Genomic DNA, 15,157 nt, shown 5'->3' on the forward strand with positions numbered 1-15,157 from the left:
AGGCCTAGTTGGGAAAATAAAATATTAATATTAGATTTACTTAGCTAGCTAGTGTTATCTATATGTATACCATAGAATTTTACTTTTGAATGAAGGATCCCACAGTTTATTGCAGTACGTGATTTTCTGCAGTTTTCTGAATAAAAATGTTTAAATTGTTTATATAAACATTCTAAGAGAATTACTATTTTAACTGTCAAACTTTGTAATGTGAAGAACTTTTAAATTTGAATGGCTTTGTAATTACTGTGTAATTTTCACCCCTGCATTTTCTATCTAATCTTTACTCCCTGCATTCTCAATATAGATGTCTTGTTTCCAAGCATCCTCATTACTTTAAATGCTTTCTCTCCTACATGAATGTTTAAAGACATATGTATGTATGTGTGTGTGTGTGTGTGTGTGTGTGTGTATATATTTCTATCTCTAGGTCTAATTATATATACTTATTTATGGCCCTTGGGTACCCCTTTTTTTTTTTTTGAGACGGAGTCTCGCTTTGTGGCCCATGCTGGAGTGCAGTGGTGTGGTCTCGGTTCACTGCAAGCTCCGCCTCCCCGGTTCATGACATTCTCCTGCCTCAGCCTCCTGAGTAGCTGGGACTACAGGCGCCTGCTACCACGCCTGGCTAATTTTTTTGTATTTTTAGTAGAGACGGTGTTTCACCGTGTTAGCCAGGATGGTCTCGATCTCCTGACGTCGTGATCCGCCCACCTCGGCCTCCCAAAGTGCTGGGATTACAGGCGTGAGCCACTGCGCCCGGCCTATTTCTCTTTTTAAAAATATAAAATAAAGGTAGCACGGGTAAAGAATGAAGGTACTAGAAGAAATTTTCGCACATCTAATGAGAGGGTAATATTATAATGTATTTATTCAACAAAGATTTGTTGAATACCTACAGTGTGTTAGACACTGGATATCTACATCATGGAATTATTTTAAAAATTAAGTGACACAATTTCTTAGCAGAGTACTTTATACATAGTTAGTACTCATTAAGTCCAGTATGGGCATTTTTTTTTAAGCTCATTTCCTCCCTTTGCTGTCTAAAATTCCTCTGCCTGCTGGTCAGAGTTCTGCATTATCTGACTCTAACCCTCCTGTTTCCATTGGTCCATAAGAAAACTGCTTCAGAGAGGTCTCACTATATCTTGCACATGCATTCTAGCTTCCTTAACTTGCTTTGCACCATTCCCTACATTTCTTTGTGGCTTTTGACACTTACTGACCACTCATTCCCACTACCTTACACATTCCATGGCCCCTTTCACAGTGTTCTTTCTCTACCCCTCTGGTTACTCCTCAGCCTTTTTCTCAGATTTCTTTCCTTAATTGCCTCTTAAATGTTAGTATCCCCTGGGAGTCTAGCCTTGGCTCTTTCCCTTTTTTAATTCTGTGCACATTTACTGGGAAGGTTTATCTGTGTCTTTGTCTATATAACATATACACATATATGTGAATTACATATATGAAATCAGTTGCATTTCTCTGATTTGAAGCAATAGAAATCAACTCTGACTAAGCAAATATGAATTTATTGGAATGCTATTTGGATATCATAGAACCATGCTTGGAAATGGGATGAAATCAAAATATCTTAAGGAGGCTAGAAACCAAAAGCTTTGTTAATGGTCTCTTAGAAAGAACCATCTGGGCAGTGCCCTGCTGCTAGAATGAGTGTACTCCTGCTATGTTTAGCTTTTTGTAATTATTCTCAAGATTCACATTTGAGGAGGAAGTCTCCCAATGGCCTGATTAAGAATCCCATAAGGCTTTGTGTAGTGGGGAAGAAAATTTCCCAGAGGAAATCCGAGTATTCTTTACTAGGGGAAAAGATGATCGTAGTTAAAAACAAATAAACAGTCCGGGCGCGGTGCATCACGCCTATAATCCCAGCACTTTGGGAAGCCAAGGCGGGTGGATCACTTGAGGTCAGGAGTTCAAGAGCAGCCTGGCCAAGATGGCAAAATCCCATCTCTACTAAAAATATAAAAATTAGCCAGGCATGGTGGTGAGCGCCTGTAATCCCAGCTACTCAGGAGGCTGAGGCAGGAGAATCACGTGAACCTGTGAGGCAGAGGTTGCAGTGAGCTGAGATTGCACCATTGCACTCCAGCCTGCGCAACAGAGTGAGACTCTGTCTCAAAATAAATAAATTAATAAATAAGTAAAAAATAAACAAGAGACCCAAATGATTACTATATGTACCTGTGAATCACAAAGGTCTATCCTTAGCCCAGATCTGTCTTCCAAGCTTCTCTTTCAATACATCCTGCTGCCTTTTAAAGATTTCCAATTTTCCTAGAGTGGCCTCACTTTGGAGGTTGGAGGTATTTTGGGGTTTCTCAGCAGACTTCTGTGGCAGTGGGGTCACCTCAAGTTTTGGAACAGCAATGAAAAATGACCAGTGCTATGATAACATCCAGTTTACTCATGTGACCTGGGATAGTTCCTTTTGTACTATCCGTCCCAGATTTGTTGCCATAATCATAGACATGACTTGGGGAGGAGAGTTGCTTGTGCTCCCTTTTCATAAGCATTCTGGAAAGAAATCAAAACTTGGATGTGGTGCTCACTTTGGCAGCACATATACTAAAATAGGAACAATACAGAGAAGATTATCATGGCCTCTGCACAAAGATGACACATAAATTTGTGAAGTATTTCATATTTTTCAGCTGAACCCAACTTATACCACAGGCAAAACCAAGGGCATCAAAGAATATAAAAGCAAAAAGCTCCATTGAAAGGACAGCACCTTTGAACATTAAAGGAGCATCAGATGCGAAAGAACCAGTAAGAACTCTGGAAACGCAAAAAGCCAGAGTGTTTTCTTAACCTCCAAACAACTGCACTAACTCCCCAGCCATGGTTTGTAACCAGGCTGAAATGACTCAAATGACAGACTAAGAATTCAGAATCTGGATGGCAACAAAGATCATTGAGATTCAGGAGAAAGTTGAAACCCAATCCAAGGAATCTTAGGAATCCAGTAAAATGATATTAGAGATTAAAGATAAAACAGGTATTTTAAGAAAGAACCAAACTGATCTGATAAAACTGAAAAACTCACTACAAGAAAAATTTCATAATTGGAAATATTAATGACAGAATCGACCAAGCTGAGGAAGGAATCTCAGAGCTCGAAGACCAGTTAACTGGTCAACTCAGAAATAAAGAAAAAAGAATAAAAAAGAATGAACAAAACCTCTGAGAAATATGTGATTATGTAAAGAGACTAAACCTACAGCTGGTATCCCTGACAAACAGGGAGAGTATATTAGTCAGTTTTCACACTGCTATAAAGAATACCTGATTTGGGGCCAGGCATGGTGGCTCACACCTGTAATCCCAGCACTTTGGGAGGCCACGGCAGGCGGATCACTTGAGGTCAGGAGTTTGAGACCAGCCTGGCCAACATGGTGAAACCCCGTCTCAACTAAAAATACAAAAATCAGCCTGGCATGGTGGCACATGCCTGTAATCCCAGCTACTCAGGAGGCTGACACAGGAGAATCTCTTGAACCCGGGAGGCAGAGGTTCCAGTGAGCCAAGATCACGCCACTGCACTCCAGCCTGGGTGACAGAGCAAGACCCTGTCTCAAAAACAAAAAAACAAACAAACAAAAAAAACAAACCTGAGACTGGGTAATTTATAAAGGAAAGAGGGATGTTTTTGTTTGGTTGGTTGGTTTTGTTTTTTGAGAGAGTCTTGGTCTGTCACCCAGGCTGGAATGCAGTGACACAATCTCGGATTACTGTAACCTCCACCTCTTGGGTTTAAGCAATTCTTGTGCCTCAGCCTCCCAAGTACCTGGGACTACAGGCATGTACCACCATGCCCGGCTAATTTTTGTATTTTTAGTAGAAATGGGGTTTCGCCATGTTGGCCAGTCTGGTCTCGAACTCCTGGCCTCACATGATCCACCCCGGTTGGCCTCCCAAAGTGCTGGGATTACAGGCATAAGTTACCATGCCTGGCTGGAAAGAGGTTTAATTGACTTACAGTTCCACATGGCTAGGGAAGCCTCAGGAAATTTACAATTACAGCAGAAGGCAAAGGAGAAGCAAGTATGTTCTTCACCAGGCGGCAGGAAAGAGAAAGAGTGAGAGAATGAGGATGTGCCACACTTTTTTTTTTCTTCAACTTTTAAGTTCCGGGGTACATGTGTAGGATGTGCAGGTTTGTTACATAGCTAAATGTGTGCCATGGTAGTTTGCTGCATAGATCAACCCATCACCTAGGTATTAAGCCCAGCATCCATTAGCTATTCTTCCTCATACTCCCCCTCCTGCCACCCCTGCCCCCAACAGGCCTCAGTGTGTGTTGTTCCCTCTGCCATGTGTCCATGTGTTCTCATTGTTCAGCTCCCACTTATAAGTGAGAACATGCAGCATTTGGTTTGATGTTCCTGCATTAATTTGCTGAGAATAACAGCTTCCAACTCCATCCATGTCCCTGCAAAGGACCATGATCTCATCCCTTTTTATGGCTACATAGTATTCCATGGTGTATATGTACCACATTTTCTTTATCCAGTCTATCATTGATGGGCATTTAGGTTGATTCCAGGCCTTTGCTATTGTGAATAGTGCTGTGATGAACATACATGTGCATGTATCTTTATAACAGAATGATTTATGTCTCTTTGGATATATACTCAGTAATGGGATTGCTGGGTCATATGGTATTTCTGCCTCTAAATCTTTGAGGAATCACCACACTGCCTTCCACAATGGTTAAACTAATTTATACTCCCACCAACAGTGTAAAAGCATTCCTTTTTCTCTGCAACCTTGCCAGCATCTATTGTTTTTTGACTTTTTAATAATCACCACTCTGACTGGCATGAAATGGTATCTCATTGTGGTTTTGATTTGCATCTCTCTAATGATCAGTGATGTTGAGCTTTTGATATGTTTGTTGGCTGCATGAATGTTTTCTTTTGAGAAGTGTCTGTTCATGCCATTTGCCTGCTTTTTAATGGGGTTGTTTGGTTTTTTCTTGTAAATTTGTTTAAGTTCCTTGTAGACTGGATATTAGACCTTTGTCAGATGGATAGATTGCAAAAATTTTATCCCATTCTTTAGGTTGTTCACTCTGATGATAGTTTCTTTTGCTGTGCAGAAGCTCTTGAGTTTAATTAGATCCTATTTGTTAATTTTTGCTTTTGTTGCAGTTGCTTTTGGCATTTTCATCATGAAATCTCTGCCCGTGCCTATGTACTGAATGGTATTGCCTAGATATTCTTCTAGGGTTTTTATAGTTTTGGGTGATGTCTTTTATTCCCGGAACTTTGTCCCATCACAGTCACTTTGGTAGTCTCATTTAAAGCCAGGGCCCTGTGAGAAGCCTTGGCTAATGTGAACCCTTCCGTGTGACACACGGTGGTCTTCTTCAAAGGATGACATCCTGGGCAGAGTTTGGAAAAGTTCTCAGATTGATTACTGAATGCATAGGCATTTGTTGTCTTCTCTGTATGCAGTACAACATAAAACCAGCTGTCAGGACTTGGAGGAATAGGAAGATTCCTTTCCAGGAGCACACTTTGAAGTTAATTAGATAAACAACATATGAGGGAAACTTGTAGAACAAGAACAAGTAATAACAGATTATATTAACCAGATATACTTTTAGAAAATAGAGATGCTTCTATATTCATAGGAATAGTCTCAAAAATTATTCCCTGAAATGTTACTAGTCTCTTGAGGGTGGAATTCTGGCAGGTCTTCCACTATCAACCTCATTTTTACATTTTAATCTTTATAAGTATATATTTATAATACAAAGCAAGTTAAATTGTATTTACACTGATGCAAAGAACATTTTTAAAGAAGTTTCAGGTCTATTTTTGAAAAATAAATCTGTTTTTAAATTATTTCTATTTTTATATAAACTTCAAGGTAAGTAAATGGACATTGATCACCTATTATGAGATTTATAGCTAATCTAAGGGGTTTTATAAACCCAATTTAGATATGAGTGTACTTTCCTGTGCTCATCTAAACCCAAAATATTTTAAAAAAGAGTTTATCTAGTGTTGAGATTTTAAAGATTATTAATCACGTCCCTATCTCCTTTGCATTATGGACTAAGTAAGTCACGGCGATCGGGTAGAATAAAAATAGCTTTATTCCTTTTTGTTCTTGCTAAAGAAAATATTAGCAATATTTTAAATGAGAACAATGGGTTGTGCTTCAATCTTGTTTTAAATCTTGGTTATATTCTTTGTGATGGAGTGATAATGGAGATGTATTACTAAATTTCATTTATTTTAATATTTGGTTTAAATAATCTTGTCCATTCATCTGTTGGCAGACACTTAGCTTGATCCTCATATCTTGGCTATTGTGAATAATGCTGCAGTGAACATGGGAGTGCAGACATCTCTTTGACATACTGATTTCATTTCCTTTGGATATATACCCAGTACTGGGATTACTGGATCATATGGTAGTTCTATTTTTAATTTTTTGAGGAACCTCCCTACTACTTCCCATAATAGATGTTCTCTTTTCTTCACATCCTCACCTACGCTTAACAGATATGAAGTGATATCTCATCGTGGTTTTAATTTGCATCAACCTAAGTGTCCAAAAATGGATGAATGGATTAAGAAAATGCTGTGTATACACAGAGCGGAATACTATTCAGCCTTTAAAAAGGAAATCCTGTCATCTGCCACAATATGTATGAACCTAGAAGACATTATGTTAATTAAAAGCCAGACGCAGAAAGACAGATACCACATGATCTCACTTATATGTGGGATCTAAAAAAGTCAAACTCATAGGAGAGAGTAGAATGGTGGTTACCAGGGGCTGCGTGAAGGGTTGGGGGGATTGGAGGGATGTTGGTCAAAAGATGAAAACCTTTCAATTAGATGGGAAGAATAAGTTCAAGAGATCTATTGAACATTATGGTGACTGTAATTAATAACAATTATTTTATACCTGAAAATTGCAAAGAGAGAGCTTTTAAGTGTTTTCACCACAAAAAAAATGATAAGTATATGAGGTAGTGCTTATGTTCATTAGCTTGATTTGGCCATTCTACAATGTATACATATTTGAAAACATATACCATAAATATATATTAGTTTTTCTCAATTAAAAAACAATCATCTTAGCTGAAAAATGCACCTCTCAAAAATAAGGTAGAGGCAAATGGAAAAGTATATCATTGGATGTGTTTACTAAATTACGATAGTCATTTTTAAATCCTACCCACAAACTGTGCAGAGGTTTTTATTGACCTTCCAGTTTCCTTGATTTTAAAAAAAATGATTCTTCCAAACATCAGAAGATGTTGCATTTTCACATAAAAAAAAAAAAAAATAGGGCTGGGCATGGAGGCCCATGCCTGTAATCCCAGCACTTTGGGAGGCCAAGGTAGGTGGATCACCTGAGGTCAGGAGTTTAAGACCAACCTGGCCAACATGGTAAAACCCCATCTCTACTAAAAATACAGAAATCAGCGGGGCATGGTGGCACATGCCTGTAATCCCAGCTACGTGGGAGGCTGAAGCAGGAGTATCACTTGAATCCAGGAAGCAGAGGTTGCAGTGGGCCAAGATTGTGCCACTGCACTCTCTCAAAAAAAAGGAAAAGAAAAAAAGGGCCAAAGCCCACTGAGAATCTAATTGGAAGATTTTTCAACAGAAAATGCTCTAAGATTTTAAACTGATGAGATAAGATAAATTATACAAGCTATTCAGGTCATTTTCAGTATCACGTCATTTTCAGTGTCACGACATTTTCAGTATCACGTCATTTTCAGGAACAAAATTGTAACAGTGGTAACACTTCCAAACATCCATTTTCACATGCTATCTCTATAGCATTAGTGTCTTTTTAAAAAGCAGTTTACTTTTTATTCATTGTTAAAATTTCATCTTAATCCTGAAGGAAAAAAAATTTGTTTACTTTTTGGAGAGTATCTGCTAGACAGCAAACTTGGTACCCTGGCCTTTTTTTTTTTTTTGAGACGGAGTCTTGGAGTCTTGCTCTGTCGCCCAGGCTGGAGTGCAGTGGCGCGATCTCGGCTCACTGCAAGCTCCGCCTCCCGGGTTCACACCGTTCTCCTGCCTCAGCCTCCCAAGTAACTGGGACTACAGGCGTCCGCTACCACACTTGGCTAATTTTTTGTATTTTTAGTAGAGACGGGGTTTCACCATGTTGGCCAGGATGGTCTCCATCTCTTGACCTCGTGATCCACCCGCCTCAGCCTCCCAAAATGCTGGGATTACAGGCGTGAGACACTGCGCCCGGCCCCGTGGCCTTTTTTAAAAGGAAAAATGAGTAACCCGTCAGCATTGTTAGATAGGTCTTTTAATTTCGCCGTAGATAACCAGCAGACCCTGTATGATCCAAAGGATTTTTATGGTCATTTTACATTTTGTTACAAAATTCTGTAAATGTTCTATTTTTTCAGGATCTTGATTTTATTGCTTATATATATTCTGCAGCAAGTAAGCTGCAACATGTTGCAATAAATGAAAAGATTACAAATAAGTAAGGTGCCACAGTCAACCTCTGCATTCTGGCTCTTCCTCGGGATACCAGGGTTTGTGTGATATGTGACTGTCTGCACCGAGTCAGGCACCATAGTGTTAATATGCTTAAGCTTCATGTCTTTATTATGTTTTAGATTACAATATACATAGAGGTTCTAACTTTTCCCGTGCTCCCTTGTGGATATTATATGCCCCGTAGGACGCATATGTCTTCTTTTGGAGACCCCTGGCTCCATCTCAGTGCATAGGAAGCCCCTGTGATTTGGCTCCTGTCCACGTCTGCTGACTCGCCTTGTACCATATACTCCAGCAGCTGCAAACTGCCTGTTCGTTTTCTTTTTGTGCTATGCTCTCTCCACTTCCTGGAATGTTCTTCCTTCAATCCTCTTCCTCCCCAACTATGCCTTTTATATGTTAGGTAGGGGTCTGTACCTTTCTTTGACCCCCACCCTGATCCCAAATTAGGCATCCTTCTGTGTGCTTATGGACTATTTTGTGTATGTCTCTGATCTGCATTTTATCACTGATATTTTATTATGTTTATGTCTCTCTCTCCTGCGTATCACAATTTCCTTGAGGACAGAGACCAGGTCTTGACATATATTTCTGATCTCTTTTTTAATAGAAAAATGTATAGTTTAATTTTTCTTTTATCTTTCAACCTCCAAACCATTTTTTTCTTTTGGTTTTGCAGGCTTTGGATGGATTTTTCTTTGTTGTGAACTGTGAAGGGAGAATTGTATTTGTGTCAGAGAATGTAACCAGCTACTTAGGTTACAATCAGGAGGAATTAATGAATACGAGCGTCTACAGCATACTGCACGTGGGGGATCATGCAGAATTTGTGAAGAATCTGCTACCAAAATCACTAGGTAAACAGAAATGTGTTTTTAAAAAGAATACTAGCTCTCTGTATCTTCTCCTTATATAATATGTATAATATGTGATTATTATATTTATAATACACAGTATTATATATGTTATAATATGTGTTTAAAATATTTTTTCAGTGTGGTTTCAGTCTCAGATATAAATATGAAGGGGAGTTTCATCAAATAGCTGATGGAGAGTATTCCTTTCAGCTTCTTCCTTTATACTGTGTGAATTGTTTTCAATTTTGATTATGTTCAAGAAAGAGACAAATGTGTATCCTTTCCATTACCCTGCTCACAGAAAAAAGAATAGAAATGAGAAAGAGAGGGAGTGAGAAGGAGGGAAGAAGGAAAGAATATATGTCATATATCTACTAAAATTAATGTTTTTAGACTTAAGTGCTTTAACTGAGGAATTCCAAGTATGGTTGGATGGGCTATTCGCTGCTGAGGAGCCTAGCTGAGAGGATGGATGGAGTCTAATTTCTAGTGTCTGTTCTATTCACTGAACCCTGTGCCTTGGGGCAGGGCTGGGACCTTAGGAGTTAGGGGACTTTTTCTAATTCTTGTAAAGGCATGGATGGACTAACAGCAAGCCTTTGTTTACTTCTTGAATTTTCAGGCTCCTCTAAAGTTTTTCAGTGCTCAAGTTCTAGTTACTCCTGGTGATTGCATTGCTACCTTTACATCTGAGTGGGGGTGTTTTTCAATAGTCAGTGTATATTTTGTAGATAAATAAGAAAGTTTTCATATTACATTTCAGATTCCATTCCATTTTAGATTTTTTGTTACTTTTTTTCCCCATAGTTTATTTGTTCAGTGAGCTCTGAAATAAAAGCGATTTAAAATGCAGATAAATTTACCACACATCAGTTTTTCAGACAGATACTGTGTGATAAAGTATCTGAGTTGGAGAGTTAAGACTCTACCATACCGTTTAGTATGGGAACTGAGGCATGTGGTCAGGGAAGTCAAACAATGTAAGATTCCCCTGATGTCACTATAGGTAATACTTAATTAAGATTTCTTTCCTTGGCCATGGACTGTAGATTCTTTTGCTCTACTGTTCACAAATTTTGAGGACTACTGGTGTATGGATTGAACTGAGCTATTGCATTTTATTTTGTATCAAAAAAACTAATTTAATTTTAGTCTCATGTTGGGTAACAAGATATTTGTTGGGTTTAGCAGCCTTCCTGGTTGGAAAGAGGCCTACAGTCACAGAAAACAAGGATGAGCTGTTTTCTGACTCCTGAAGAACGGGCTTATTGTTTGTGGAAGGGCCACATTACCTGTTCTGCCTGGTTCTCAGGATGCTGTAGATCTATGACTATTTGGGTTCCCCCAAATCACTGCCAGTAGATAAATTTGGAGGGAGTGTCATCTACTAGCTTATGTGCTTGCTAGTGGTGCTGCTCCCGGCTGCTTACAAGACAGTGATCCTCAGCTGGCCTGACAATTCATTGTTGCCTCTCTGAGCAGCCTTTCACAATAGGGAGGAATGTGAAGTTTTTGCTACAGAGATATCTTTCTCTCATTCCCCCAATAATGGAAGAACAGAAACATTGAAAAAATACTACTACTTTCTTATACAATAGTGTAGAGAAGCAAAGATAGGGCAAGCTCAGTAATAATAGAATAGATCACCTAATCTTACAGTGTTGGTTGATCATCCATTAGAAACCAATGAGATGGTCCCACCAAAAGAATAAAGGCCAACTACACTAACTTAGAAAAGCCAATAGCTTCTTTCAAGGTATTTCCAAAAAGCATTTAGGAGAAAATAAATTATAGTACCTATATTTAAACCTTTATTATTAGAATAATCAAAGTATTAGAAAATTAAGGAAAGAGACCAAGTAGAATCATTTTATGTGTAATTCATTATCAACCACTGGGGAAAAAAATCAAATCAAGATTCAGAACCTATCAAGAAAGAAATTTGAAGAAAAATTTAGGATCATTATTTATATATATATATTCACCTTATATACATATATCACATATACATGATTCAAAGCACTGCCTTCTTATTTTTTGATTTGTTCTTTCCAAGGAGAAATTTTGAAGAAAAAAGTTAAAGTCAAACTTTTAAAATTGCTTTTGAATTTACAGATTTAGAAGATTTCAGTGTCTAAAATCTGTACTTTTTAAGCATAACATTTTATTTATAAGAAACAAAATCTGAATGCTGGGAAGCTGGTATGGTGAGAAATTTTGTCCAAAAGAACAAGTATACATGGATATACTTATACTTGCACAGATGGTTATAAAAAGATTATATTGTGAAAGGCTAAGATTACAAAGAATGAGATGTTAGTGAACATAGACTTATTTGTGAAATTCTAATAAATTGGAACTTGAAGTTTGAAAAAAAATTTTAAAAAGCAAGTCGTTATAAATTCATACCATTTATATCTCAAATGATGGAGACACGATAGTGCTTAAGAGCATAGCCTTTCTGGTATAAAATAGAAATGGCTGTGTCTGACTCTGCTACTTAATTAGCAGCGTGACCTTGAACAAGACACTTGACCCCCTCTAGGCCTCATCGTTGGTAGGAAGGTTAAAGGGTAAGTGTTGCTTAGCATATTTCCTGGCTGGTATTAAATTCTTTTTGTTTTAGCTGTTATTATTCCTGTGACTGGCTTTATCTAAATGTTTTGGAGCTTTTAATTTCTGAATGATAGATCTACAATTATTATTAACAACTACTAGCTGGTTTTGATTATGCTTTTATCTTAGAAATCAATGTGAAGGAAGGACAATCTTGTCCTTTCATAGTGTGCTCTTAGAAGCACATAGAAATTATTCTGTAGAAATTGAGGCAAATTTTTTTATAGATCACATTCAGTAGGATAGTTCCGTTTTTCTTATTTCTTTATATTTTGAGACAGAGTTTCACTCTTGTCACCCAGGCTGGAGTGCGATGGCATGATCTCAGCTCACTGCAACCTCCGCCTCCTGGGTTCAAGCAATTTTCCTGCCTCAGCCTCCTGAGTAGCTGGGATTACATGTGCCCACCACCACGCCCAGCTAATCTTTGTATTTTTAGTAGAGACAGGGGTTTCACCATGTTGGCCAGGCTGGTCTCGATCTCCTGATCTCAGGTGATCTGCCTGCCTCAGCCTCTCAAAGTGCTGGGATTACAGGAGTCAGCCACCACGCCTGACCCTGTTCTTCTTTTTTGAATTGTAGCTAAACTGCTACTTCTTCCTGTACAGGGGGCTTTTGTTAGTAATTTTTTAATACTTTGGGTTTGTTTTACTAGGTTTTTTAAACATTATCAGGGGCATTTATCCTTTTAAAGAGGAATCATATGGTGAGTTAAGAAAGGACTTGCATGAAGATTAGGCATGCTGCTTTCTAGCTAGATAATGTAAACTACCTCCTCCCACACACAAAATACTGAATTTTGTCAGAAGCTTTGTACCTCTAGTATAGATCTATCCTCTTATTTCCATTCCACAGAGTATTCAGGACCTTATGTGAGTGATGCTGTTGTCTTTTTGCATAAATATGTAGCTCAGTGCCTACTGTTTAAAAGAAGATTTAGGTTCAAAAAAGTTTTGTCATGGTAACCTATTAGTAGTTCAGTTAACTTAAAAAAATCGAATTAATCTTGTGAAATCAGGGTATCTAGAAAGATCACCTAAAATATTTAGCAGCTTATATTTGAGGGGCCTATAAGTTTGGAATTGAACTTGCTGTTAATTATTGTTGTTGTTTTAAGAAGATAATGATAGTTGACATGTAAATTATTACCAGAATGACTTTAGTTTCTTTAGTTTTGGTGATTATTTTTCAACTTTTTTTTTTCACATCTCAGAAAGTGTTTTGTACAACTTAGATATACTGACCACCATAACAGGTCATGAAATTAAACTTCAAGGAAGCGCCTTTCTCCTCTTCATCACTGTATGCTCTTCTCTTGGCTCCTTATTTCCTAACCATTCCTCCTTAATTCCTAACCGTAATTCCTACCTACCTTAATTAAGGTAGGAATTGGCCTACCTTAATTCCTAACCATTCCTCCACCTCTTTTCCTTTTCTCTACCTTCTTTCCTTTTACCTGAACTGAGTGTGATTAGATATTTAGCTCTTCTTCTAGTAACATTCCGCAAGTAGCTTTCTTTGTAGACACCTTCAGAAAGCTGAAACTGTCCCTGATAACCGAATAGATCAGGATAAACATTATCTAAGCCAAGCTATAAACAAAAATGTAAAGCCTTTTTTTTTTTAACTTTTATTTTAGATTCAGTGGTACATGTGCAAGGTTTGTTATATAGGTAAACTCATGTCATGGGGGTTTGTTGTACAGATTATTTCATCACCCAGTGTATTAGTCCATTTTCACACTGCGATAAAGAACTTCCCTGAGACTGGGGTAATTTATAAAGGAAAGAGGTTTAATTGACTCACAGTTCCACATGGCTGGGGAGGCCTCAGAAAACTTACAATCATGAGAGAAGAGGAAGCAATTGCCTTCTTCACAAGGAGGCAGGAGAGAGAGAGAGCAAAGGAGGAACTTCCAGACGCTTATAAAACCATCAGATCTCTTGAGAACTCACCATCACGAGAACAGCATGGGGGGAGCTGCCCCCATGATCCATTCACCTCTCTCCCTCAACACATGTGGATTACAGGTCCCTCCCTCGACATGTGGGGATTACAGTTTGAGATGAGATTTGGGTGGCAACACAGAGCCAAACCATATCAACCAAGGTACTAAGGCTAGCACCCAATAGTTATTTTTTCTGATCCTCTTACTCCTGCCAGCCTCCACCCTCAATTAGGCCCCAGTGTCTGTTCTTCCCCTCTTTGTGTCTATGAGTTCTCATCATTTAGCTCACACTCATAAGTGAGAACATGCAGTGTTTGGTTTTCTGTTCCTGCGTTAGTTTGCTAAGGATGATGGCCTCCATTTCCATCCATGTTCCTGCAGAGGACATGGTCTCATTCTTTTTATGGCTGTTATAGTATTCCATGGTGTGTATGTACTACATTTTCTTTATCCAGTCTGCCTTGATGGTCATTGAGGTTGACTCCATGTCTTTGCTATTGTGAATACTGTGGCAATGAACATACACTTGCATCTGTCTTTATGGTGGAATGATTTATATTCCTTTGGGTATATATCCAGTAATGAGATATTTGGGTTAAATAGTAGTTCTGTTTAGCTCTTTGAGGAATTACCACACTGCTTTCCACAATGGTTGAACTAATTTACACTCCCACCAACAGTGTATAAGCATTCCCGTTTGCCCACAGCCTTGCCAGCATCTGTTATTTTTTGATGTTTTAATGATAGCTATTCTGACTGGTGTGAGATAGTATCTCATTGTGGTTTTGATGTGCATTTCTCTAATAATCAGTGATATTGAGCTTTTTTTCACATGCTTGTTGGCCATATGTGTGTCTTCTTTTGAAAAGTGTCTGTTGATGTCCTTTGCCCACTTTTTAATGGGGTTGTTTTTTCCTTGTAAATTTGTTTAAGTTCCTTATGAATACTGGATATTAGACTTTTGTCAGATGCATGGTTTGCAAATATTTTCTCCGATTCTGTAGGTTGCCTGTTTACTCTCTTGACAGTTTCTTTTGCTGTGCAGATGATCTTATATTTAGGTCCCATTTGTCAATTTTTGCTTTTGTTTTGATCACTTTTGGCATCTTCATCATGAAATCTTTGCCCATTCCTATGTCCAGAGTGGTATTGCCTAAGTTGTCTTCCAAAGTTTTTTATAGTTTTGGGTTTTACATTTAAGTCTT

The 15,157-nt window shown here is 38.2% G+C and overlaps 1 protein-coding gene and 1 pseudogene across 15 annotated transcripts in view; both read left to right on the forward strand.

The window, feature by feature from the left end:
• Positions 1-15,157, forward strand: part of NCOA1 (nuclear receptor coactivator 1) — a 279,449-nt gene that overhangs the window by 182,487 nt on the left and 81,805 nt on the right. For all 15 annotated transcript variants that reach the window (XM_047446155.1, NM_001362950.1, NM_003743.5 and 12 more), the window contains one exon: positions 9,211-9,388. In XM_047446155.1, coding sequence (XP_047302111.1) covers positions 9,211-9,388 — 178 coding nt within the window. The remainder of the gene's footprint in view (positions 1-9,210; positions 9,389-15,157) is intronic.
• Positions 2,569-2,675, forward strand: RNU6-936P (RNA, U6 small nuclear 936, pseudogene; annotated as a pseudogene).

This window comes from Homo sapiens, chromosome 2 (assembly GCF_000001405.40).
Source record: "Homo sapiens chromosome 2, GRCh38.p14 Primary Assembly".
Taxonomy (NCBI): domain Eukaryota; kingdom Metazoa; phylum Chordata; class Mammalia; order Primates; family Hominidae; genus Homo; species Homo sapiens.